The sequence below is a fragment of the Homo sapiens genome, chromosome 14 (genome assembly GCF_000001405.40).
Source record: "Homo sapiens chromosome 14, GRCh38.p14 Primary Assembly".
In the NCBI taxonomy this organism is placed as follows: Eukaryota; Metazoa; Chordata; class Mammalia; order Primates; family Hominidae; genus Homo; species Homo sapiens.
Window position 1 is genome coordinate 88,387,834 of NC_000014.9, and position 26,884 is coordinate 88,414,717.

General features: G+C 37.1%; 1 protein-coding gene across 11 annotated transcripts in view; it reads left to right on the forward strand.

Annotated features, from left to right (window-relative positions):
* Positions 1-26,884, forward strand: part of SPATA7 (spermatogenesis associated 7) — an 84,694-nt gene that overhangs the window by 2,177 nt on the left and 55,633 nt on the right. For 5 of the 11 annotated variants that reach the window (XM_006720205.2, XM_047431581.1, XM_006720204.2 and 2 more), the window contains exons 2-4: positions 3,548-3,622; positions 5,560-5,655; positions 8,323-8,370. In XM_006720205.2, the coding sequence (XP_006720268.1) occupies positions 3,548-3,622; positions 5,560-5,655; positions 8,323-8,370 (219 nt within the window). The remainder of the gene's footprint in view (positions 1-3,547; positions 3,623-5,559; positions 5,656-8,322; positions 8,371-26,884) is intronic. The other 6 variants (XM_047431584.1, XM_047431582.1, XM_005267852.3 and 3 more) reach the window with 2 other exon arrangements.

Here is a 26,884-nt window from a genome sequence, read left to right on the forward strand (position 1 = left end):
AAGAAAAGATTGAGAATAACAAACTGCCATTCACTCTAATATCAATGACCTTTAGGAAGGAGAGGAGACAACCTATTAGTATATTACTGAAAGTAACTTGAAAAAAAATTTTTTCCCAGCACTCTGGGAGGCTGAGGCAGGTGGATCACTTGAGGTCAGGAGTTTGAGACCAGCCTGGGCAACAGAATTAAACCCTGTCTCCACCAAAAAATACAAAAATTAGCCAGGCATGGTGGCGTGCGCCTGTAGTCCCAGCTACTCGGGAGGCTAAGGCAGGAGAATCACTTGAACCTGGGAGGGGGAGGTTGCAGTGAGCCAAGATCATGCCACTGCCCTCCAGCCTGGGCAACAGAGCAAGACTCCATCTCAAAAAAAAAATTGTTTTGATCTGTTGGTCTCATAGAGACACTTATCAATGGTAGATTTCCAAACCTTTGGTTTTCCAGAGAAACCTTGCCACAAGAAACACTTTCATCTTTCCTCACTGGACTTTCTTCTGGCTATTTTAATCAAATTGTGTAGGAAAATGGGCTGCTCTCATATACCAGTGAATTTCACCACTAAGACCTTCAATCTCATTGACAAGATTTTAGTCCTAATAGTTAGAGAATGATGTTCTTTTCCTTGGCATTTGGTTTGAGGCTACTTCTCCATGCCCCTTTGGCTCATTCTGGGTCCAGTCCAGTCAGGAGATAGAAACCATACAGTGATTTTTATACAAGGAAAAGTTAAAGAATTGTTATACTTTCATAAAAGAGTAACTATAAGATGTAAGGGGCTGGGCGTGTCAGCTCATGCCTGTAATCTCAGCATTTTAGGAGGCTGAGGCAGGAGCATCACTTGAGGTCAGTGGTTTGTAATCAGCCTGGGTAACATAGCAAGACCCTGTCTCTAGTATATAAAACAAATTAATGAATTAATTAAAAAGATAAGAAAACTGTATTTGGTACCTAGAATTACGGGAAAGTACTCAAAGAAGGACAATTTGAAAGAGAGTTTCTCCCAAAGACTGGGGTTCAGACCTCATTAGAGAAGGCGTGATTGTGCACTTGCCCAAAGCTTCATCACCGAGGAGTGATATCGGAGGCTTCACATTCCATGGGAAATAGACTTTGATAAATTGCTTAGCCAAGTCACTAAACAAACAAGTGAACAACAATGAAAACAAGCTCAGGAGAGGATTCTGTATCTAGAGTTGCTGCAATATATTACCTAAAATGTTAACTTTTCAACAAAAAGAAATTGCAAGTCATGCAAAAAAACAAAAACAAAAAAACAGGAAAATGTGACCTATACACAGGACACAAAGGAGGAACCAGAAACTATGAGAGGGTAGATGAATTAAATCGTCTTATTTCTCCCCTCAATTCTGTTAGGTTTTTTTTTTTCCTTTCTCTTTCTTTTTTCTTTTTTCGAGACAGGGTCTTATTCTGTTACCCAGACTGGAGTGCATTGCAGCCTCCTGGGCTCAATCATCCTCCCATCTCAGCCTCCTGTGTAGCTGGGACTACAGGCACACACCACCACACCCAGCTAATTTTGTATTTTTTTGTGCAGTTAGAGTTTCGCCATGTTGTCCAGGCTGGTCTTTGAACTTCTGGGCTTAGGTGATCAGCCTGCCTCAGTCTCCCAAAGTGCTGGGATTACAAGCACGAGCCATTGTGCTCAGCCCTAATTCTGTCATTTTTAATATGACATGTATCTATAGGAATATTAGAAACCAATGAGTATATGCCTTGGTGTACGTCTGATGGTAAATAGACAAGGGAACATAGACATCAAGGAACATCTAAATTCCATGTTTGTTCTTATCACCATCTTATGCTAAAGAGCAGCTGGATTGATTCCTGGGGCCAAATATTAACCACCTTGTTCACAGCTGTCACTTACAGATGGGTGGGGAAGCATTTCTATCCAGAGCATTATCACTAGGTTCCAGCCTTTTTTCATTCTCTTTTCATCCTTTCACACTTCTCTGGGTATACCTGTTTTTCCTTTTTCTGTGACCTATAGTGAAACATACATAGAATAGAATGGAATTTGGAGGGAATAAACTACATACAGCTGAGATATCTTCTTGGTCTGTTTCACATGATTTAGTAGCTTAGAACATGGTTCAAGTACTGAGCAGTTTATATTGGTCAAGATAGTGTAATGATTAAGACCCAGGAAACAGACTGCTTGGGTTCAGATCCCAAATCTGTCACATTCTTGTGTAATCTTTGGCAAATTACAAGTTTAACCTCTGTGCTTCAATTACCCTCATCTATAAAGTAGGGAGAATTATAGTATTGTAAGGATTAAATGAATTTATACCAGCAAAGTGCTTGGAGCACTGCCTGGCAGGGTTACCACTCAATAAATTAGCCTTTTGACTACAAATGAAGAAATCAACTCATACTGGTTTAAGCTAAAATGGGAATTTTTTTTTTTTTTTGGCTAATGTAAAGAAACGTCTAGGGAAGGAAGAGCTTCAAACATGGTTGGCCTCAGGTACTCAAATGATGTCACCAAGAAATCGCTTTCTATCTTGGTTCCACTTGACTGTGTAGGCTTCATTCTCAGACAGGTTCCTTTATAAGGTTCAGGATGGCCACCAGCAATACAGGGCTTGCTTAGACCCTTCACTGGGTTTAGCAAGCCCAGTGAAATGAAAGTACCTTTCCTAATAGTTCCTGTCAAAGGCCCAGGATTGTGTATCTCATGTTGGGACTTGGATCGCATAGCATTGCTGACGCTGTCAACACAGCTGTCCACATTTGGGTTTTATGCCTAACCCTGACAGTGGGGTCAGCTCTATTTGAACCACCTGGGCTAAGAGTAAGGGAAGAGTCGCCCAAAGGAAAGTTGAGTTGTCATTTCCAGGTGAAGAGGCATTGAATTCTGGACAAGAAAAAAGTCACAGTTCTTTCTATCTGGAGAAATGAGGTTTTTCTGAGAGTTTGTTGGTATTTTTTCTTATGTTTAGGTCTTACCCTCCTTCTTTCTTGGTAGAAGCTATGCTCATTTCATGACTATCTTTTTTCCCAGTTCAGATGGCATCACCTTGACTTGTATTGTCCTAAATATTTTTTTCCTTCCTGCACTCTGACCTGTGACATAGAAAGAGCTTCATAGATATTCTGACCTCAGTTTGTTTTTCTGTTTTAATCTATTCTGACAAGCTTTGTTCTCTGGTCTTAGATTTTAGTTCTCCTAGCTCGATACTTCTTTTTTCTATATTTAGTCATCCATATATCTTCTAGACTTTCTATGTGTCCTCCTTGTTATAGCTTTTAACAGCCCACCTGATAGCAAACTAGCCATCTTACCCTCTTAAAACATCTCTGTTTGGGGGATAAAGCATTTATATTTTGCATATTAAATTACATTTAATGCTGTAACTCAGACTTCCTGTTTTGGAGATTACTACTAAAAACGCAATCACCTTTTAGGAAAGAAATTATTTTGTGATAAATTTATTATTTAAAAAATATTGAATATTGTTGTTTTTGTAAAAGTTGTGTTTCATTTATCCTAATTTATGATTTTTTTTTCTTGTTAAAAGTCAGAGCAACCTCTGTCCTTCCCAGATATGGTCCACCGTGCCTATTTAAAGGACACTTGAGCACCAAAAGTAATGGTAAGTGAGGTGCTTAAAACGGCAGCTTTGTTAGAAGATTGTCTGAGTGTTTCCTTTACTGGCAAATTATATGACATGATGGAAAAATTGTTTCATTTGACGAATATTTGAACTTCATATTATTAATTTTAATGAAATATAGGCGTTCTTGAGATTAGAGAATTTTGGAGTCTATGATTTCAAACTATTATTGTGCCCTGGATGTGGACTTGGCTGTCTCCTGCTCCCAGCTGCTACAGCAGCCCAGCTCTACTTTTGCCAGGAAACTACCCTGATTTAAGGCATACCTGCCTTGTTAAAATGGTGAGTAGCAGGTATTAAAGACGCAAGCACTGAAAAGGAAAAGCTGTGCAGAGAAAAAGAGCACTTGAATAATACATTTCCTATTAGGAGCAAAGGCCTATGGGCCTCTTTATCCAACTGGATTTCTAGGTGCTGTGATATTTTTATATTTTAAAGCTTTCAAGGTACATTTTTAAGGTAGGTTTTAAAATAAATTTTTGTAATTATACCTTAGAAGTATAAGTCTATGTCCTTAGGCAAAATAATTAAAGCCTTATTTTCCTTATTTACAGGAAAAATCTTTGATACTGTTACCTCCAAATGTGGTGGAAGGATCTCATTTTCAGTTGCCTCACTTATTTCTTTGTATTACAGTGTATTTTTTAAAGTTTATGATTGTGGCTATGTATGTATGTAACATATATATGTATGTAACATAGCCATAATGATAAACTTTAAAAACTAAATTTTAAATAAAAAGTTAAAACTAGATTTAAAATATACATACATAGAAATCAGGATAAAGAACAATATGTAAAGTTTGCTAACTTTCTTTTAAAGAATATATATATAGAGCTGGTATAGGTATGGTGGTTTTAAGTATGAGGCTGCCTTGGATCACATGGAAGCTGCATCCTTTATCAGCAGTGTAACCTTGAAGATGTAACTCATATCTCTGTGCCTCAGTTTTCACTTCGATTAAATGATAATAATAATGACTAGATAAGTTTATACATATAAAGAGTTTAGAACAATGCATGGTAAATGGCATTTATTCAGTAAATATTTTTAGTAGTGGCATCAAGCTCGTAATTATTGCATAGGCTTGTATTATGCACAGAGTCTCTGGAAGGATGCATTTAAACAGTAACATAGTATATTTCTGGGAAGGGAGACTAAAGGTCAGGGTAGAGAAATCACTTCTTTTTCAAACTCCATATGCCATTTTAGCTGTTGAATTTTTTTAACCACATTGCGTGTATTACTTCTCAAAAACTGTTTTTAATGTTTAAAAAAGCTTTGCCTATATTTATATTTTATACTTGTGTGTAAGTGCTTAACTATTTCTAAGATTTCTTTTAAACAGTTTGAATGAGGACCAAGGAGTTTAATGTCATGGAATTTCTTTGCGATTACACTTGTTATAAGATAGTTTTAGTACTTCAAAAAGAATGTAGTAAACTGGTATGTAGATCTTGTTTTCAGGTTTAAGTTAGAAATTTGCTTCTTGGAATATAATTTTTGTATGTAGGGTTTTGGGATTTGGTAGTCATTGAATTTCTGAAATTCCGTTGATTAAGTATTAACAATGGTAACTAATTAAGCAAGCAGCTAAACATCCTTAGTTAGAAGATTGAGAGCTGTCAAAAAAAAAATAGTTCTGTAAATGTAATGACAGATCATATCCTAGAATCTCTTCCCCAGAGTCTCAGGCTTGTAAAATTTTATTCTCAGGAAGGTTTGAACCCAAATGGTCAATAGCTCATTGGCATTATCAGTGCAAGATTAAAGCTTCACATCACAATGTCATATATCAATATCTCTGGTTGAATTTCAGAACATTTTATAAGAATGAGTTAAATAATCAGTGCCTTGTTTATCTCATGATTTTTATATTAGTTTTAAATATATAATGATTATGTTTTAATTTTTAGCTTTTTGCACTGACTCCTCTTCTCTCAGACTAAGCACTCTCCAGCTGGTCAAGAATCACATGGCTGTTCACTATAATAAAATCCTTTCAGCCAAAGGTAAAAATGTGCAAATGTGAACTCTCTGTACTCAATTTAAACCTCCAGCTTCACTTCTCATTAAAATATATCTATAGCAAAAATGAATACCTTATATATATGAGAGGATTTGTATTTGTTTGGTTTAGTGTGATACAAACTATTGACTCTAGGTACTTAGCAAATTCATACCCATTTTTGTTAACTATATTTGAAATCTATATATTGCCTATTTTATTTCGTTTTTTATCTCTATTGCTAATAATATTTTGTTAGATATTGCTTTTAATATGAAAATATATAATCTGCTTTTTTGTTTACACATCTATGGAAGTTGCACAAAGAAGATGCTATTTTTCTGTTTAATTTTTTTCTTTTGTCAGCTTTATTGAGATAAAACTTACATTATAAAATGCATTGATTATAATGTGTACAGATAAATATTTTGAAAAATGAACACATTTGTATAAATACTACTACAACCATGCTGTAAAACAGGAATCAGCTAACTACACCGTTCAGGCCAAACCCTCCTACCACCTGTTTCTGTACAGCCCATGAACTAAGAATGGTGTTCATATTTTTAAATGGTAGCAAAAAATTTAAAAAAAAGTATTTTGTGACCTGAAATTCAAATGTAGTTATCCATAGACAAACAATCATTTTCAATCTTTTACATATTGTCTGTGGCAGCTTTTACACTAAAAAGCAGAGTTGACCAGTTGTAACAGACTGTATCACCCTGCAAATCCTGAAGCATTTGCTACCTGGCCCTTTGTAGAAAAAATTTGCCAACCCTTGATATAGAAAAAGTCCATTACCTCAAAGAGTTCCCCCTAGTCCTTTGCCGTCAGTCCCCTCCTGACAAATCCCTGGCAACCACTGATCTGCTCTTTCGCCTATAGTTTTACCTTTTCTATAAGTTCATAGAAATGGAATCATGTATCGTTTTGGGTCTGGCTTTTTTCAGTTATCTTAATGATCTTGAGACTAATTCACACTGTTCTGTGTACCACCATTTATTCTTTTGTATTGTTAAGGAGTATTTCATTTAATGAATAGACCACAATTTGTTTATGATTCACCAGTTGTTAAACATTTGGATTGTTTTGACTCACTTTTGGCCATTAGGAATAAAGCTGCTATAAACATTCACATATAATTTTGGCGCATGTGTTTACGTTTCACTCGGGTAAATTTATGTGTCAGGAGTAGAACTGTGAGGTAATATATTAAGTATAAGTTTAATTTTATAAGAAACTACAGTTTTCCAGAGTGAATATACCATTTACATTTCCATTACTTCTGCACCCTTACCAACCCTTGGCGTTGACAGTCCTTTTTTAACCATTCTAGTGAATATGAAATAGTATCACTTCATAGTTTTAGTTTGCATTTCCCTGATTTCTAGTGATGTTGCCTTATTACTTCCCATCTGTATATCTTCTTTGGTGAAATGACTGTTCAAATCTTTTACCCATTATTAAAAATGGGTTGTTTGTCTCTTTAGTATTAAGTTGTGAGTTTCTTTATATACAGATTCTATATCAGATATATGTTTTGCAGATATTTTTTTCCCAATCTGTAGCTGGTGTTTTCATTTTCTTGTTAAAATTCGTATTCTGGAGAAATTTTTAGACTTACATAAACATTTAAAAATTGTATAGGGAGTTACCATATACCCTGTACTCTGCTCTTCCACTAATGTTAAAAATCTTAAAAACCGTGGTATAGTTATCAAAACCAGGAAATCAATATTGATGCAATCCCATTAACTACAGACCTTATTTGAATTTCACCAATTTTTGACTAATGTCTTTTAAATTTTTATTTTCTCATTTAAATAGCTAAAGTTTTTAAATTTTAGTTTATATTTTATGATGCTTATATTTTTAAATGACTAAAAAAACAAAAGAAAAATATTTTGTGACATGAAAATCGTGAAGTCGTTTAGTTTTTTAGTTTTATAAACTAAACAGGTTATTTCATAACCTGTTCAAGAAATATTTGCCTAACCTTAGGTCACTCAGAATTTCTTAATATGTTTTCTTCTAGAAGTTTTAAAGTTTTAGCCCTTACATTTAAATTTGCGATCCATTTTGAGTTAGTTTTTGTATATGGTGTGATATAAGGGTTTTGAGGTTTTTTGTTTGTTTTGTTTTTTTGCCTCTTCATATCCAAATTTCCCAGTACCATTTGTTGAAGAGGTTATCTTTTCTCTATTTAATTGTCCTAGTACTTTTTGAAAGTCAGTTGACCATATGTGTGGGTCTGTTTCTGGACTTAACTCCTTGGTTCTGTTGATCTATATGTCTATCTTTAAGCCCCATGCCACACTGCCTTAATTATTGTAGCATTACAGTAAGTCTTGAAATCAGGTAGTGTAAGTCTTCCATTTTGCTTTTTTTTCCCCAAGCTTGTTTTGGGACTACATTATAAGTATGTTAAGTCTGTTTCATTTTGAGTAGTTTATATTGCTATGTCTTCAAGTTCACTAGTATTTTCTTCTGCAGTATTGAATGAGTTATTAATCCCAACAGTGTATTTTTAATCAAGGATCTTGTGTTTTCCATCGCTAGAAGTATGATAAACAGCTGCAAGGTCTGGAACATTTTGTGATTTCCACATTTGGTATTTGTCATTTATAAATACTGACAATATTATTAAACTATTACCTTTCTCTTTCAGCTGCAGTAGACTGCTCGGTTCCAGTAAGCGTGAGTACCAGCATAAAGTGTAAGTAATTTTTGGACATTATTACCTTTTTAAAAAAAAATTAAGGTAAATATACATAACATAAAATTTACTGTCTTAACCATTTTTAAGTGTCCAGTTCAATATTAAGTACATTAATATTGTGGTACAATGATAACTACTACCTCCAGAACTCTCTTTATACTGCAAAACTGAAATTCCTGTGCCACATAAACAATAATTTCCTCCCATAGGCCCTGGAAACCAACATTCTTTTCTATCACTATGAATTTGACTACTGTCACCATTGTACTTACTATCTCTATGAATCTATTTTAGGTACCTTATATAAGTGGAATCATATCGTGTTTGTTCTGTTGTGACTGGCTTATTTCACCTAGCATGATGTTCTCAAGGTTCACCCATATTGTAATGAGTCAGAATCTCCTTTTTAAAGGCTGAATAAAATTCCATTCTGTGTATATACCACATTTTACTTATGCATTCGTCAGTTGATGGACACTTGAGTTACAGTCACCTTTTGGCTGTTGTGAATAAACTATACTGCTATGGACATGAGTATACAAATACCTCTTCAAGACCCTCCTTTTAAAGATTTTGGGTGTATATTTAGAAGTGGAATTGCTAAATCATATATTCTATTTTTAATTTTTTGAGAAACTACCATACTATTTTCTTTTCTTTTCTTTTTTCTTTTTTTTTTTTTGAGACAGGGTCTCACTCTATTGCCCTGGGGCTAAAGTGCAGTGGAACGATCTCACCTCACTGTAACCTCCACCTCCTGGGCTCAAGCAATCCTCCCACCTCAGCCTCCCAACAGCCTCCCAAGTAGGTGGGACTACAGGCGCAAGCCACCACGCACAGCTAATTTTGCCACAGCCTTTTTACATAGAGACAGGGTTTTACCATGTTGCCCAGGCTTGTCTCAAACTCCTGAGCTCAAGTGATCCACCTGACTCAGTCCCCCAAAGTGCTGGGATTATAGGCGTGAGCCACTGCACCCAGTGACCATATTGCTTTCTATAGCAGCTGCACCATTTTCCATTATGACTAATGATGCTCAAGTATTCAGATTTCCCCATGTCCTCCCCAACACTTGCTTTTTCCTATTTGTTTAATAGTAGCCATACTAAAAGGTGTTGACACATTGCCTTTTGAGAAAGCATTTCTAACTTAAAAATTATCCAAAAATACCCAGGCACAGTGGCTCACACCTATGGGAGACAGAGGCAAGTGGATCACTTGAGCCCAGGCATTTAAGAGTAGCCTAGGCAACATGGTGAAACCCTGTCTCTTCAAAAAATACAAAAATTAGCTGGATGTGGTGGCATGCAACTCTGGTCCCAGCTACTCAGGAGGCTAAGGTGGGAAGATTACTTGAGCCAGGGAGGTCAAGGCTGCAGTAAGCCATGATCATGCCACTGCACTCTGGCCTAGGTGACAGGGAGATGCTGTCTCAAGAAAAAAAAAAAAAAAGGAAAAAGAAAACCCATAATGTTGACACAGGATATATAGAATCCTTATATATCTACCCTTTGACCAGGTTATCTTCATTTTTAAATCATCAGACCAAAAATTTGAAAACCCTGTTTAAAAATTTCTGAAGAATACCATTTGAAACCTTTGTTTTTGATTTCAATTAAGAAATGTATACTTTATGGGAGGCCGAGGCAGGCGGATCACGAGGTCAGGAGATCGAGACCAACCTGGCTAACAGGGTGAAACCCCGTCTCTACTAAAAAACAAAAAATTAGCTGGGTGTGGTGGTGGGCACCTGTAGTCCCAGCTACTCTGGAGGCTGAGGCAGGAGAATGGCGTGAACCCGGGAGGTGGAGCTTGCAGTGAGCAGAGATCGCATCACTGCACTCCAGCCTGGGCGAGAGAGCAAGACACCGTCTCAAAAAAAAAAAAGAAATGTATCCTTTAAAAATAGGCAAAAAACATGGCTGTCACAGCCTTTGATTGTCGTATTAATCATATAAAAATCAGTGTTATACGTATGTTTATTGCAGCACTATTCACAATAGCAAAGACTTGGAACCAACCCAAATGTCCAACAATGATAGACTGGATTAAGAAAATGTGGCACATATACACCATGGAATACTATGCAGCCATAAAAAATGATGAGTTCATGTCCTTTGTAGGGACAGGGATGAAATTGGAAATCATCATTCTCAGTAAACTATCACAAGACCAAAAAACTAAACACCGCATATTCTCACTCATAGGTGAGAATTGAACAATGAGATCACATGGACACAGGAAGGGGAACATCACACTCTGGGGACTGTTGTGGGGTGGGGGGAGGGGGGAGGGATAGCATTGGGAGATATACCTAATGCTAGATGACGAGTTAGTGGGTGCAGCGCACCAGCGTGGCACATGTATACATATGTAACTAACCTGCACAATGTGCACATGTACCCTAAAACTTAAAGTATAATAATAAAATTTTAAAAAAAGATAAAAAAAAATCAGTGTTATAAATTTTAAGTTTAGTGTTTTCTAAGTTTCTAAGTTTTCTAAGTTAATATTTGAATTTATGTAGAGTTTGAGAACATTTCTACATTAAAAAAGTAAATATCAGCCAGGTGCAGTGGCTCATGCCTGTAATCCCAGCACTTTGGGAGGCTGAGGCGGGCGGATCACGAGGTCAGGAGATCGAGACTATCCTGGCTAACACGGTGAAACCCTGTCTCTACTAAAAGTACAAAAAATTAGCTGGGCATGGTGGCAGGCGCCTGTAGTCCCAGCTGCTCGGGAGGCTGAGGCAGGAGAATGGCGTGAACCCAGGAGGCGGAGCTTGCAGTGAGCCGAGATGATGCCACTGCACTCCAGCCTGGGCAACAGTGCAAGACTCCGTCTCAAAAAAAAAAAAAAAGAAAAAAAAGTAAATATCAACCTAAGGTTAATTCATGCTAAATGATAAATGAATAAAAGCATACATAGGGAAATGCCTTTTGGGTGCAATCTAGGAAAGATCACAAACAGTAGGAATGGTTAACTCATCTCTGCTTGTATATCTTAGTTGAAGAGATAGAAGGTAGGGGAGAAAGTAACTACCAGCTATAGGTCATAGCTACAAACACAGTGTCTGTCTCAGGCCTTGTGCTTGACACTTTGTATTCTCCCTTTTCTATTCTTTTTATGTTTGCAACAAACCTTCGTGTAGGCTGTCATATTTTTGAAGGAAAATTAGATTCAAATAATTTTAAAGGAGGAAAAAAGGCATGTTAGGCAAGAGTAGAGACTTCTTAGTACATATTTTTAAAGACCAGTTTGGTCGCTACATACAAGTTATATGGGCAAGTCATTTTACCTCTGACCTTCCTTTTTTGTGAAATGAAAGGTAATTAGATGATTTCTAAGGACCCTTCCAGATTTTTAATTTCTGTGCTTTACATTTTTTTCTTCTGTATCATATTAGTAACTTTTTTGTAGCACAAAACTGGTTCAGTGTTTACATGCTTTAAATATCTGGATCATTTGAATTAAGTTGGTTGGGATTACAGGCGTGAGCCACCGCGCCTGGCCTTAAAATGATCTCTAGAGACAATGACAGCCATTATATAATTTTTAAAGGGTCAACTTAACAGGAAGATGTAACAATTATCTACATACCCAACATCAGAACTCCTAAATATATCATGCAATTGTGGACAAATCTGAGGGAGAAATTGACTTTAATACAATAATAGAAGACTTCAATAATCCACTTTCAATAGTGGATACATATTATAAGACCCAGACAGAAATCATTTAAACCGCTGACTTGAACAACATAATAGACCAAAGGAATTTAACAGATATATACAGACCTTTATACCCTATTGAAGAATACGCACTCCTCAAGTGCACATGAAACCTTCTTCAGAATAGATCTCATATTAGGCCATAAAATCAGACGTAACATATTTAAGAAGATAAAAATCATTTCAAGTATCTTTTTCAACCAGAATGGAATAAAACTAATAATTAATAGCTGTAAGAAAATGGGAAATTCACAAATACATGGCAACTAAACAACACATTCTTGAACAAGTATTGAGTCAAAGAAGAAATAAAAACAGAATTTTGATATCTTGAGGCAAAGGAAAACAAAACCACAATATACCAAAACTTACAGAATGCAGCAAAATTAGTACTAAGAGAGTGGTTTATAGTGATGAATACTTACATTAAAAGAGGGGATCTCAAACAACTCAACTGTATACCTCAAGGAACTAGAAAAAGAAGAATAAACTAAGCCCACCTCGGTAAATCCCTAGAAACATACAACCTTCAAAAACTGAATCAAGAAGAAATATCCTGAATAGACTAATAGAAAAAAGGAGATTGAATCAGTAATCAAAAACTTCCCAACAGAGGCCACATGTGGTGGCTCATGCCTGTAATCCCAGCACTTTGGGAGGCCAAGACAGGCAGATCACTTGAGGTCAGGAGTTCAAGACCCTCTGGCCAACATGGTGAAACCCCGACTCTACTAAAAAATACAAAAAATTAGCCAGATGTGGTGTTGCACACCTGTAATCCCAGCTACTCAGGAGGCTGAGGCAGGAGAATCACTTGAATCCAGGAGGTGGAGGTTGCAGTGAGCTGAGATCATGCCCCTGCACTCCAGCCTGGGTGACAGAATGGGATAAAATCTCAAAAAAATAAAATTAAAAATTAAAAAAAACTTCCCAACAAAGAATAGCCCAGGACCAGATATCTTCATAGGTAAATCTACCAAATATTCAAAGAAAGGATAGCACCAGTCCTTCTTAAACTTTTATAAAAATAGAAGTGGGAATACCTCCAAACTCATTTTATGAGGCTAGCACCACCCTGATGCCAAAACCAAACAAAGACAACACAAGAAAAGAAAGCTACAGGCCAATATATCTGATTGATATAAGTGCAGAAATCTTCAGTAAAATACCAGCAAACTGAATTCAATTGCATGTTAAAAGAGTCAAACACCATGACCAAGTCAGATTTATCCCTGGGATACAAAGGTGGTTCAACATATGCAAATCAACCAATGTGATATACCACAGTAACATAGTGAAAGATTAAAAACCACACAATCATCTCAATACATGCAGAAAAACCATTTGACAAAATTCAGCATCCATTCATGATAAACTCTCTCAACAAAATAGGAATAGAAGGAACTTACTTCAACAGCATGAAAGCTATATATGAAAATCTCACAGGTAACATGATGCTTAATGAAGAAAAACAAAGCTTTTCCTCTAAGATCTGGTATAAGGCAAGGATTCCTCACTTTTGCCACTTCTGTTTAACATAGTATTGGAAGTCCTAGCCAGAGCAATTAGACAAGAAAAAGAAATAAAAGGCATACGAATTAGAAAGAAAGCAGTAGAGCTGGGTGTGGTGGTTCACTCCTGTAATTGCAATACTTTGGGGGACCAAGGTGGAGAGATCACTTGAGGCCAGGAGTGGCCAGCCTGGGCAACATAGTAAGACCATGCCTCTACAAAATAAAAAAACTAAAAATTAACCAGGCATGGTGACACATACCTGTAGTCCTAGCTACATTGGAGGCTGAGGCAGTAGGATCACTTGAGCCCAGGAATTCAAGGTCACAGTGGGCTTTGACCGTGCCACTGAATTCCAGCTTGGGCAGCAGAGAAAGACCCTGTCTCAAAAAAAAAAAAAAAAAAAAAAAAAAGTAAGGTTACTTCTGTTTGTGATGACATGATATATATGTAGAATACCCTAATGCCCAATAAAAAAGAACTGTTGCAATAAATTCAATATAGTTTTAGGATACAAAATTAATGTACAAAAACCAGTGGCATTTCTGTACACAAACAACTGTCTGAAAAGGAAATTAAGAAAACAATGCCATTTGCAACAGCAACAGAAAGGATAAAATGCTTAGGAATAACCTTAAACAAAAAGGTTGAAAACTTGTACACTGAAAACTATAAAACATCAATAAAGGAAATTTTAGAAGACACAGATAAATGGAAGACATCCATATTTATGAATTGGAATAATTAATATTGTTATAATTTTTGTACTACCCAAAGTAGTCTATAAATTCACTGCAATCCCTATAGAAATCCCAAAGACATTCTTTACAGAAATAGAACAAACAATCGTAAAATTCATGTGGGACCACAAAAGACCACAAATAAAACAATCTTGAGCAAGAAAAACAAGGCTGGAGAAATCACACTTTCTAAATTTCAAAATATATTTCAAAGCTACAATAATCAAAACAGTATGGAACTGGCAAAAAAAAACACATACCAGACCAATGGAAAAGAATGGAGAACCCAGAAATAAATCCATGTGTTTATAGTCAACTTATCTTCAAAAGGGTACCAAACACACACAGTGGGGAAAGGATAGTGTCATCAATGAATGACTCTGGGAAACCTGGATAGTCCCATGCAGAAGGATGAAAATGGACTCTTAAACCATAGACAAAAATCAACTCATACAAAAATCAGCTCAAAATGGATTTAAAAACTTAAATATAAGGTCCTAATCCATAAAACTACTAGAAGAGAACATAGAAAAAAAGCTTCTTGGCTTTAGTCTGGGCAATAATATTTTTGGATATGACTCTGAAAGCCAGGCAACAAAAGCAAAAATAGACAAGTGGAATTCACCAAACTCAAAAGCTTTTGTACAGCAAAGGAAACAATCGACAGAGTGCATAGGCAACTTACAGAATGGGAGGAAATATTTGCAAACCATGTATCTGATAAGAGGTTAATATCCCAACTGTGTAAGTAATAAGTACAACTCAATAGCAAAAAAAAAAAAAAAAAAAAAAAACCCAAAACCTTGCTATAAAAATGCATGAAGGACCTGAGTAGACATTCTCAAAGGAAGACATACAAGTGGCCAATAAGTGTATGAAAAGGTGCTTAACATTACTAATTATCAGGGAAATGCAAATCAAAACCTTAATGAGATATCACTCACACCTGTGAGAATGGCTATCAAAAAGACAACATGTAACAAGTGTTGGCAAGGATGTGGAGGAAAGGGAACACTTGTGCACTGTTGCTAGGAATGTAAGTTGGTACAGCCATTAGGCAAATCAATATAGAGGCTCCTCGAGAAATTGAAAATAGAACTACCATACGATTAAGCAATCCCACTTCTGAATATATATCCAAAGGAAATGAAATCAGTATGTCAAGGAGATATCTGTTCTCCCATGTTTGTTACAGCATTATAGCAAATAGTCAAGATATAGAAACAACCTAAATGTTGACAGATGAATGGATAAAGAAAATGTGGTATGTGTATAAAGAAATACTACACACACATACACACAACCCACACCACATTTATAACATACACAGACACATGCAAAACCCACACCACATAGCCTTTAAAAAGAAGGAAATCCTGTCATTTCTGTCATTTGTGACAACACAGATGAACCTGAGGGTTCATTTTAGCTTCCACATATAAGTGAGATCACGTGGTACTTGCCTGTGTCTGGATTATTAAACATGTGTATGTGCAATCTAAAGTGGGCAACCTCAGAGAGGCAGAGAGTAGAATGGAAGTTGCCAGGGGCTACAGGAAGGAGGAAATGGGGAGATGTTGGTCAAAGAGTACAAAGTTTTAGTTAATGCAAGTTGAGTAAGTTCTGGAGATCTAATGTACAGCATTAATTAGAGTTAACAGTACTGTATAATATACTTGAAATTTGCTAAGACAGTACATCTGTGTTCTCACCACAAAAAAAAGAAAAAGTAGCAACTATGTTAGGTGATAGATGTATTAATTATCTTGATTATGATCATTCACAATGTATATCAGAATATCAAATTAAATGCCTGAAACATATACAGTTTGTCTGCTATACCTTAACAAAGCTGAAAAAATTATTACCTAAGCAACCTGATATATATATAAACTTAAATAGAATGGCCATCTGGTCATGACTGGAAAGAATATATTAACCAGATATATTTGGTTAATGTATTGACTGGACCAAAAGAAAAGGCATATCTTGTTATAAGATAGAAAGACTCTATATAATGCAAATATATTGATACATACTTTTTAAAGTATTGATACTTTTTAAAGTAATTTCTAAATTCAATGTGAGCTCAATTAAGATGCCAAAAATCAGTATTGTTCATACACTACTTGACAAAATGTTCCAAAATTAACCTACATATATATGAGAAAATAGCCAGAAATAATCTGAACATGAATAGAAAAGAGTAGTAGAGTAGCCCTACTAAGTATTTAAAAGTATTTTAGGTCAGGCGTTGTGGCTCACGCCTGTAATCCCAGCACTTTGGGAGGCCAAGACGGGAGGATCACTTGAGGTCATGAGTTCGAGACCAGCCTGGCCAACATAATGAAACCCGTTCTCTACTAAAAATACAGAAATTAGCCAGGTGTGGTGGCATGCACCTGTAGTTCCAGCTACTCGGGAGGCTGAGACATGAGAATCACTTGAACCCGGGAGGGGGAGGTTGCAGTGAGCCAAGATCATGCCATTGCACTCCAGCCTGGGCAACAAGAGTGAAACTCTGTCTCAAAAAAAATAAAGTCAAAATCACAAATTTAAAATGGTCATTTAATTTATTTTGCTAGAGTAACAAAATAACATTTAATTTAGTTTGCTAGAGTTTATTCATTGATTTATTCAGCATATATTTATTGGGCCCCTGCTATGTGCTAGACATTGTTCTAAGGGCTGGGACTAAAGAGGTGAACAGGACAAATTTCCTGCTTTTGTAGAGTTTACATTGTAGTTGGAGAAGACAAACAATAAGCAAATACAAATAAATAAAGAATATGTCATATGGTAATAAATGCAATGGAAAAAAAATGACTGAGAGTCCCTTGGAGGAGAAGCCCTTGCTGATAAGGTGACAATTGAGCAGAGACCTGAAAGAATTAAGGAAGAGGCATGTGGCTATCTGGGGAAAAAGCAATCCAGACAGAGGAAACAGCAAGTTTAAAAGCCTTGAAATGGTGTCATGATTGGTGTTTTCAAAAAACAGCAAGGAGGGCTGTGTAGCTAGTATGGAATAAGCCAACTGAAGAGTAATAGATGAAGTCACTGAGATGGGACAGAGGGATGCAGAGAATAAAAGGCAGTGGCCATTGCAAAGACTTTGGCCTTCACTCTGAATGAAATTGCAAGCCATTGGAGGGTCTTGAAGAGAGGAGTAGCAGGGCTACTTTTACTTTTAAAAGCATCCCTTTGGCTTCATAGTTGGGAATAGTCTGAAGCAGAATGACTAGTTAGAAGACAGTAAATAATCCAGATGAGAAATAATGGTGACTGGGACCAGAGTGGTTGCAGTGGAGAGAGATTGAAATAATCAGATTCTGGAAACATTTCAAATGTGTGTCCATAGTATTTACTGATGGGTTGGATGTAGATGTAGTGTGAGAGAGAAAAGAGGATTGGGTCAAAAATGACTTCCAAGACTTAGAACCTCTCAGCCAAAAGGATGGAGTTATGATTTACTGAAGTGAGCAATACCATAGGAAAAGATTGAGAGGAGAAAGCAAAGCAGTAGTTCAGTGTTGGTCATTACATTTGAAATAAATGCCTATTACATAGCCAGTTGGCAACCCTTAGGAGGCAGTTGGAGTGCAAGTCTGGAATTCAAGAGACAATTTCAGGATAGAGCTAAAAATGTGGGATTTGACAGCATATAGGGGGTATTTAAAGAATTGCTTGCACTTTTTGTTTTTAAAATGTAGATTTAGCTAGTGCTTATTTATCCATGGTATTTTCTGCTTTTAGTCAATTAAGGCAGGAATTTTTCCTTTTTGCTACATAAACCAAATTGTGATGGCTTAGAGTAATTGCAAATATTATAATCACCAAGTTAAGTGTAATTAATAATCATTCTTCATTATATATGATTTTTCATTATAATGAATTTGGCTTAGAAACAGGCTTTCTAGACACATAAAAAGAGAAGTCTCTGGATTTGAGCCATCTCTGTTTTTATAAGCTACTCTGTACTTTTCTGTCATAGCAGACTACTGACTTGATCAGTTCCTAACCTGGAATATAGTTTATTGAATTATTTAAATAATTTAATTTTTATAGAAGTTTTATTGAAAAATAATTTACATACTATAAGATTCACTGATTTTTTACTAAATTTACAGAATTGTGCAACCACAAACCAATTTTAGAACATTTTCATCATTTTATGAAGATCCCTTGTACCCATTTGCAGCCACGCTGCAAATTCCTACCCCTAGCCCCAGGCAACCACTAATCTACTTTTTTTTTTTTTTTAGCATTCTATTTTTTGTTATTGGGAAAAGAAGAAATTCTATTAAATAAATATATTTACAAATCAAAATGATCTTTAATCAATTTGTAACTAGTTTCCACAATTGCATTTGTATACAGTTTCTTTAGAGAAGAAAAATATTGACTAAAAAATGTCCAGGTGTTCTTTTTTTATTATTATTATTATACGTTAAGTTCTGGGATACATGTGCAGAACATGCAGGTTTGTTACATAGGTATACATGTGCCATGGTGGTTTGCTGCACCCATCAACCTGTCATCTACATTAGGTATTTCTCCTAATACTATCCCTTCCCCAGTCCCCCAACAGGCCCCAGTGTGTGATGTTCCCCTCCTGGTGTCCATGTGTTCTTATTGTTCAGCTCCCACTTATGAGTGAGAACATGCAGTGTTTGGTTTTCTGTTCCTGTGTTAGTTTGCTGAGAATGATAGTTTCCAGCTTCATCCATGTTCCTGCAAAGGACATGAACTCATTCTTTTTTATGGCTGCATAGTATTCTATGGTGTATATGTGCCACATTTTCTTTATCCAGAAAGAAATATACCCATTGATGGGCATTTGTGTTGGTTCCAAGTCTTTGGTATTGTGAACAGTGCTGCAATAAACATATGTGTGCATGTGTCTTTATAGTAGAATGAGTTATAATCCTTTGGGTATATACCCAGTAATGGGATTCCTGGGTCAAATGGTATCTCTGGTCCTAGATCCTTGAGGAATTGCCACACGGTCTTCCACAATGGTTGAACTAATTTACAGTCCCACTAACAGTGTAAAAGCGTTCATATTTCTCCACATCATGTCTAGCATCTGTTGTTTCCTGACTTTTTAATGATCGCTATTCTAACTGGCATGAGATGGTATCTCATTGTGGTTTTGATTTGCATTTCTCTAATGACCAGTGATGATTAGCTTTTTTTCATGTTTGTTGGCCACATCAGTGTCTTCTTTTGAAAAGTGTCTGTTCATATCCTTCGCCCACTTTTTGATAGGGTTGGTTTTTTCTTGTAAATTTAAGTTCCTTGTGGATTCTGGATATTAGCCCTTTGTCAGATGGATAGATTGCAAAATTTTTCTCCCATTTTGTGGGTTGTTTGTCCACTCTGATGACGGTTTCTTTTGCTGTGCAGAAGCTCTTTAGTTTAATTAGATCCCATTTGTCAATTTTGGCTTTTGTTGCCATTGCTTTTGGTGTTTTAGTCATGAAGTCTGTGCACATGCCTATGTCCTGAATGGTATTGCCTAGGTTTTCTTCTAGGGTTTTTATGGTTTTAGGTCTTACATTTAAGTCTTTAATCCATCTTGAGTTAATTTTTGTATAAGGTGTAAGGAAGGGGTCCAGTTTCAGTTTTCTGCATATGGCTAGCCAGTTTTCCCAACACTGTTTGTTAAATAGGGACTCCTTTCCCCATTGCTTATTTTTCTCAGATTTGTCAAAGATCAGATGGTTGTAGATGTGTGGCGTTACTTCTGAGACCTCTGTTCTATTCCATTGGTCTATATATGTGTTTTGGTACCAGTATCATGCTGTTTTGGTTACTGTAGCCTTGCAGTATAGTTTGAAGTCAGGTAGTGTGATGCCTCCAGCTTTGTTCTTTTGGCTTAGGATTGTCTTGGATATACGGGCCCTTTTTTTGGTTCCATATGAAATTTAAAATAGTTTTTTTCTAATTCTGTGAAGAAAGTCAATGGTAGTTTGATGGGGATAGCACTGAGTCTATAAATTACTTTGGACAGTGTGGCCATTTTCACAATATTGATTCTTCCTATCCATGAGCATGTAATGGTTTTCCATTTGTTTGTGTCCTCTCTTATTTCCTTGAGCAGTGGTTTGTAGTTCTCTTTGAAGAGGTCCTTCACATCCCTTTTAAGTTCTATTCTTAGGTATTTTATTCTCTTTGTAGCAATTGTGAATGGGAGTTCACTCATGATTTGGCTGTCTGTCTGTTGTTGGTGTATAGAAATGCTTGTGATTTTTTGCACATTGATTTTGTATCCTGAGACTTTGCTGAAGTTACTTATCAGCTTAAGGAGATTTTGGGCTGAGATGATGGGGGTTTCTGAATATACAATCATGTCATCTGCAAACAGAGACAATTTGACTTTCTCTCTTCCTATGTGAATACCCTGCATTTCTTTCTCTTGCCTGATTGCCCTGGCCTAAACTTCCGTTACTGTGTTGAATAGGAGTGATGAGAGAGGGCATCCTTGTCTTGGGCCGGTTTTCAAAGGGAATGCTTCCAGCTTTTGTCCATTCAGTATGATATTGGCTGTGGGTTTGTCATAAATAGCTCTTATTATTTTGAGATACATTCTATCAACACCTAGTTTATTGAGGGTTTTTAGCATGAAGCGCTGTTGAATTTTGTCAAAGGCCTTTTCTGCATCTGTTGAGGTAATCCTGTGGTTTTTGTCATTGGTTCTGTTTATGTGATGAATTATGTTTATTGATTTGCATATGTTGAAGCAGCCTTGCATCCCAGGGATGAAGCCAACTTGATCGTGGTGGATAAGCTTTTTGATGTGCTGCTGGATTCGATTTGCTGGTATTTTATTGAGGATTTTCACATCAATGTTAGTCAGGAATATTGGCCTGAAATTTTTTTTTCTTGTGTCTCTGCCAGGGTTTGGTATCAGGATGATGCAAAATGAGTTAGAGAGGAGTCCCTCTTTGTCTGTTGTTTGGAATAGCTTCAAAAGGAATGGTACCAGCTCCTCTTTGTACCTATAGAGGAATTAGACTGTGAATCCATCTGGTTTTGGGCTTTTTTGGGTTGGTAGGCTATTAATTACTGCCTCAATTTCAGAACTTGTTATGGGTCTATTCAGGGATTCGACTTCTTGTTTAGTCTCAGGAGGATGTATGTGTCCAGGAATTTATCCATTTCTTCTAGATTTTCTAATTTATTTGCATAGAGGTGTTTATAGTATTCTCTGGTGGTAGTTTGTATTTCTGTGGGATCAGTGGTGATATCCCCTTTGTCGTTTTTTATTGTGCCTTTTTGATTCTCTATTTTCTTCTTTATTAGTCTGGCTAGTGGTCTATCTATTTTGTTCATCTTTTCAAAAAAACAGCTCCTGGATTTATTGATTTTTTGAAGGGTTTTTCACATCTGTATCTCCTTCATTTCTGCTCTGATCTTAGTTATTTCTTGTCTTCTGCTAGCTTTTGAGTTAGTTTGCTCTCGCTCCTCTAGTTCTTTAAATTGTGATGTTAGGGTGTCGATTTTAGATCTTTCCCACTTTCTCCTGTGGGCATTTAGTGCTGTAAATATCCCTCTAAACACTGCTTTAGCTGTGTCCCAGAGATTCTGGTACATTGTGTCTTTGTTCTCATTGGTTTCAAAGAACTTATTTATTTCTACCTTAATTTTGTTATTTACCCAGTAGTTATTCAGGAGCAGGTTGTTCAGTTTCCATGTAGTTGTGTGGCTTTGAGTGAGTTTCTTAATCCTGAGTTCTAATTTGATTGCACTGTGGTCTGAGAGACTGTTTGTTATGATTTCCGTTCTTTTGCAATTGCTGAGGAGTGTTTTACTTCCAATTATGTGGTCAATTTTGGAATAAATGTGATATGCTGCTGAGAAGAATGTATATTCTGTTGATTTGGGATGGAGAGTTCTGTAGATGTCTAGTAGGTCTGCTTGGTCCAGAACTGAGTTCAAGTCCTGAATATCCTTGTTAATTTTCTGTCTTGTTGATCTCTTTAATATTGACAGTGGGGTGATAAAGTCTCCCACTGTTATTGTGTGGCAGTCTAAGTCTCTTTGTAGGTCTCAAGAACTTGGTTTATGAACCTGGGTGCTCCTGTATTGGGTGCATATGTATTTAGGATAGTTAGCTCTTCTTGTTGCATTGATCCCTTTACCATTATGTAATGCCCTTCTTTGTCTTTTTTTTATCTTTGTTGGTTTAAAGTCTGTTTTTTTCAGAGACTAGGATTGCAACCCCTGCGTTTTTTGTTCCCTTGCTGGTGAGGAGTTGTGATCCTTTGGAGGAGAAGAGGCGTTCTGGTTTTTGGAATTTTCAACCTTTTTGCACTGTTTTTTCCTCATCTTCGTGGATTTATCTACTTTTGGTCTTTGCTGTTGGTGATCTTTGGATGGGGTCTCTGTGTGGATGTCCTTTTTGTTGATGTTGATGCTATTCCTTTCTGTTTGTTAGTTTTCCTTCTAACAGTCAGGCTTCTCTGCTGCAGGTCTGCCGTAGTTTGCTGGAGGTCCACTCCAGACCCTGTTTGCCTAGGTATCACCAGCGGAGGCTGCAGAACAGCAAAGATTGCTGCCTGTTTTTCCTTCAGGAAGCTTCGTCCCAGAGGGGCACCCGCCATATGCCAGCCGGAGCTCTCCTGTATGAGGTGTCTGTCAACCCCTGCTGGGAGGCATGGGGGTCAGGGACCCACCTGAGGAGGCAGTCTGTCCCTTAGCAGAGCTCAAGCACTGGCTGGGAGATCCGCTGCTCTCTTCAGAGCTGGCAGGCAGGAACATTTAAGTCTGCTGAAGCTGTGCCCACAGCCACCCCTTCTCCCAGGTGCTCTGTCCCAGGGAGTTTTATCTATAAGCCCCTGAGGGAGGCTGCTGCCTTTCTTTCAGAGATGCCCTGCCCAGAGAGGAGGAATCTAGAGAGGCAGTCTGGCTACAGTGGCCTTGTGGCGCTGTGGTGGGCTCCGCCCAGTCTGAACTTCCTGGCGGCTTTGTTTACACTGTGAGGGAAAAACCACCTACTCAAGCCTCAATAAGGTGGATGCCCCTCCCCCCACCAAGCTCTAGAGTCCCAGGTCAACTTCAGACTGCTGTGCTGGCAGGGAGAATTTCACGCCAGTGGATCTTAGCTAGCTGGGTTCTATGGGGTGGAATATGCTGAGCTAGACCATTCGCCTCCCTGGCTTCAGACCCCTTTCCAGGGGAGTGAATGGTTCTGCCTCACTGGCATTCCAGTTGCCACTGGGGTATGGAAAAAAACTCCTATAGCTAGCTCAGTGTCTGCCCAAACAGCCACCCAGTTTTGTGCTTGAAACCCAGGGCCTTGGTGGTGTAGGCACCTGAGGGAATCTCCTGGTCCGTGGGTTGCAAAGACCATGGGTAAAGCATAGTATCTGGGCCAGAGTGCACACCGTTCCTCACAGGATAGTCCCTCATGGCTTCCCTTGGCTAGGGGAAGGAGTTCCCCTACCCCTTGCGCTTCCTGGGTGAGGCAACACCACACCCTGCTTCAGCTCACCCTCCGTGGGCTGCACATATACAGTATTTCATCCTGTATATGTACCACATTTTCTTTATCCAATTCACCATTAATGGACACCCAGGTTGGTTCCATATCTTTGCTATTGTGGATAGTGCTGTGTTGGATATGAGGGCATGTGTCTTTTTGGTAGAATGATTTTTTGGGGGGGGTTTATACATGGTAATGGGATTGCTGGGTTGAATGGTAGGTCTATTTTTAGTTATTTGAGAAGTCTTCAAACTTTCCTCAGTGGCTCAGTCTTCAGCTTTCCTCAGTGGCTGAACTCACATTCCCAAGAACAGTGTGTAATTCCTTTTTCCCCGCAACCTTGCCACATCTACTATTTTTTGACTTCTTAGTAATAGCCATTCTGGCTGGTATGAAATAGTATCTCATTGTGATTTTATTTGCATTTCTCTGATGATTAGTGATGTTGAGTACTTTTTTATTTGTTGGCTGCTTTTATGTCTTCTTTTGATAAGTGTCTATGTCCTTTTCTCACTTTTTAATGGGGTTATTTGTTTTTCTTCTTGCTTTTTTTTTTTTTTTTAAGTTCCTCATAGATTCTTGTATTAGGGTTCTCTAGAGGGACAGAACTAATGAAATATATATATAAAGGGGAGTTTATTAAGTATTAACTCACATGATCACAAGGTCCCACAATAGGCCGTCTGCAGGCTGAGGAGCAAGGAGAGCCAGTCTGAGTTCCACAACTGAAGAATTTGGAGTCCGATGTTTGAGGGCAGGAAGCATCCAGCACAGGAGGAAGATGTAGGCTGTGAGAGTAGGCCAGCCTCAACCCTTCACGTTTTTCTGCCTGCTTTATGTTCGCTCGCAGCTGATTAGATGGTGCCCACCCAGATTAAGGGTGGGTCTGCCTTCCCCAACCCACTGACTCAAATGTTAATCTTCTTTGTCAGCACCCTCACAGATATACCCAGTACCAATACTTTGCATCCTTCAATCCAATCAAGTTGACATTCAGTATTAGCCATCACAATTCTTGATATTAGTTTTTTGTCAGATGCATAGTTTACAAATATATTCTCCCATTCTGTTGGTTGTCTGTTTACTCTGTTGATAGTTTCTTTTGCATTGCACAAGCTTTTTAATTTAATTAGGTCTCACTTGTCAATTTTTGTTTTTGTTGCAATTGCTTTTGAGGACTTGGTCACAAATTCTTTGCCAAGGCCAATGTCCAGCAGAGTATATCCTAGGTTTTCTTATAGAATTTTTATAGTTTTAGGTCTTACATTTAAATCTTTAATCCATCTTGTAGCCTTGTAGTGTAGTTTGAAGTCGGGTAATGTGATGCCTCCAGTTTTGTTCTTTTTGCTTAGGACTGCTCTTTTTTGGTTCCATATAAATTTTAGAATAGTATTTTCAATTTCTGTGAAAAATGATGTGAGTAGTTTGATAGGAATAGTGCTAAATCTCTAGATTGCTTTGGGCAGTATGGACATTTTAATGATATTGACTCTTCCAATCCACGAACATGGAATGTTTTTCCGTTTGTGTGTGTCAGCTCTGATTTCTTTCAGCAGTATTTTGTAATTCTTTTAGATATCCTTCACCTCCTTAGATATTTTCCTAGGTATTTTATTTTGTGTGTGTGTAACTATTGTAAATGAGATTGTGTTCTTGATTTGGCTCTCAGCTTGAATATCATTGGTGTATAGAAATGCTACTGATTTTTGCACATTGATTTTGTGTCCTAAAACTTTACTGGAATCGTTTATTAGTTCAAGAAGCCTTTTGGCAGCATCTTTAGGGTTTTCTAATTATAGAATCATATCATCAGGAAAGAGATAATTTGACTACTACTTTTCCAATTTGGATGTGTTTTATTTCTTTCTCTTACCTAATTACTCTGGCTAGGACTCCAGTAGTATGTTGAATAAGAGTGGTGATAGTGGGCATCCTTATGCTGTTCCAGTTCAAAAGAGGAATGCTTCCAGCTTTTGCTCATTCAGTATGATGTTGGCTGTGGACTTGTAATAGATGGCTCTTATTATTTTGAGGTATGTTCTTTTGATGCCTAATTTGTTGAGGGTTTTTTTTTTTAATCATGAAGGATTGCTAGATTTTATTGAAGGTTTTTGCTACATCTGTTGAGATGATCATAAGGTTTTTGTTTTTAATTCTGTTTATATGGTGAATCGCATTTATTGATTTGCATATGTTGAACCAGCCTTTCATTCCAGGAATGAAGCCTACTTGACTGTGGTTTATTAACTTTTTGATGTGCTGTTGGATTCAGTTTGCTACTATTTGTTGAGCATTTTTGTGTCTATGTTAATCAGGGATATTGGCCTATAGCTTTCGTTTTTGGTGTGTCTTTACCAGATTTTGGTGTTAGAATTATGCTGGTTTCATAGATTGGGTTTCATAGAATGAGTTAGGGAAGAGTCCTTCCTCAAGTTTTTGGAATAGTTTCAGTAGGATTAATACCAACTATTGGTATGTCTGGTAGAATTTGGCTGTGAATCTCTCTGGTCCAGGGCTTTTTATGGTTGGTAGGTTTTTTTTATTACTGGTTCGATTTTGGAACTCAGTATTTCTCTTCAGGGTTTCAATTTCTTCTGAATTCAATATTGGGAAATTGTATGTTTCCAGAAATTTATCTATTTCCTCTAGATTTCCTAGTTTCTATGCATAAAAGTCTTCTTAATAGTCTCTAAGGATCTTTTCTATTTCTGTGGGGTCTGTTGTAATGTTGCCTTTGTCATATCTGGTTGTACTTATTTGGATCTTCTCTTTTATCTTTGTTAATCTTGCTAACAGTCTGTTGATCTGTTTATCCTTTCAAAAAACCAACTTTTTGTTTCATTGAACATTTATATGGATTTTGGAATCTCAATTTCAATTATTTCTGCTTTTAGATAATTATTTTCTACTACTAGCTTTGGGATTAGTTCTTGTTATTCTACTTCCTCTAGTTGCAATGTTAGATTAATTTGAGATCTTTCTGTCTTCTTGATGTAGGTATTTAGCACTGTAAACTTGCCTCTTAACACTGCTTTTGCTGC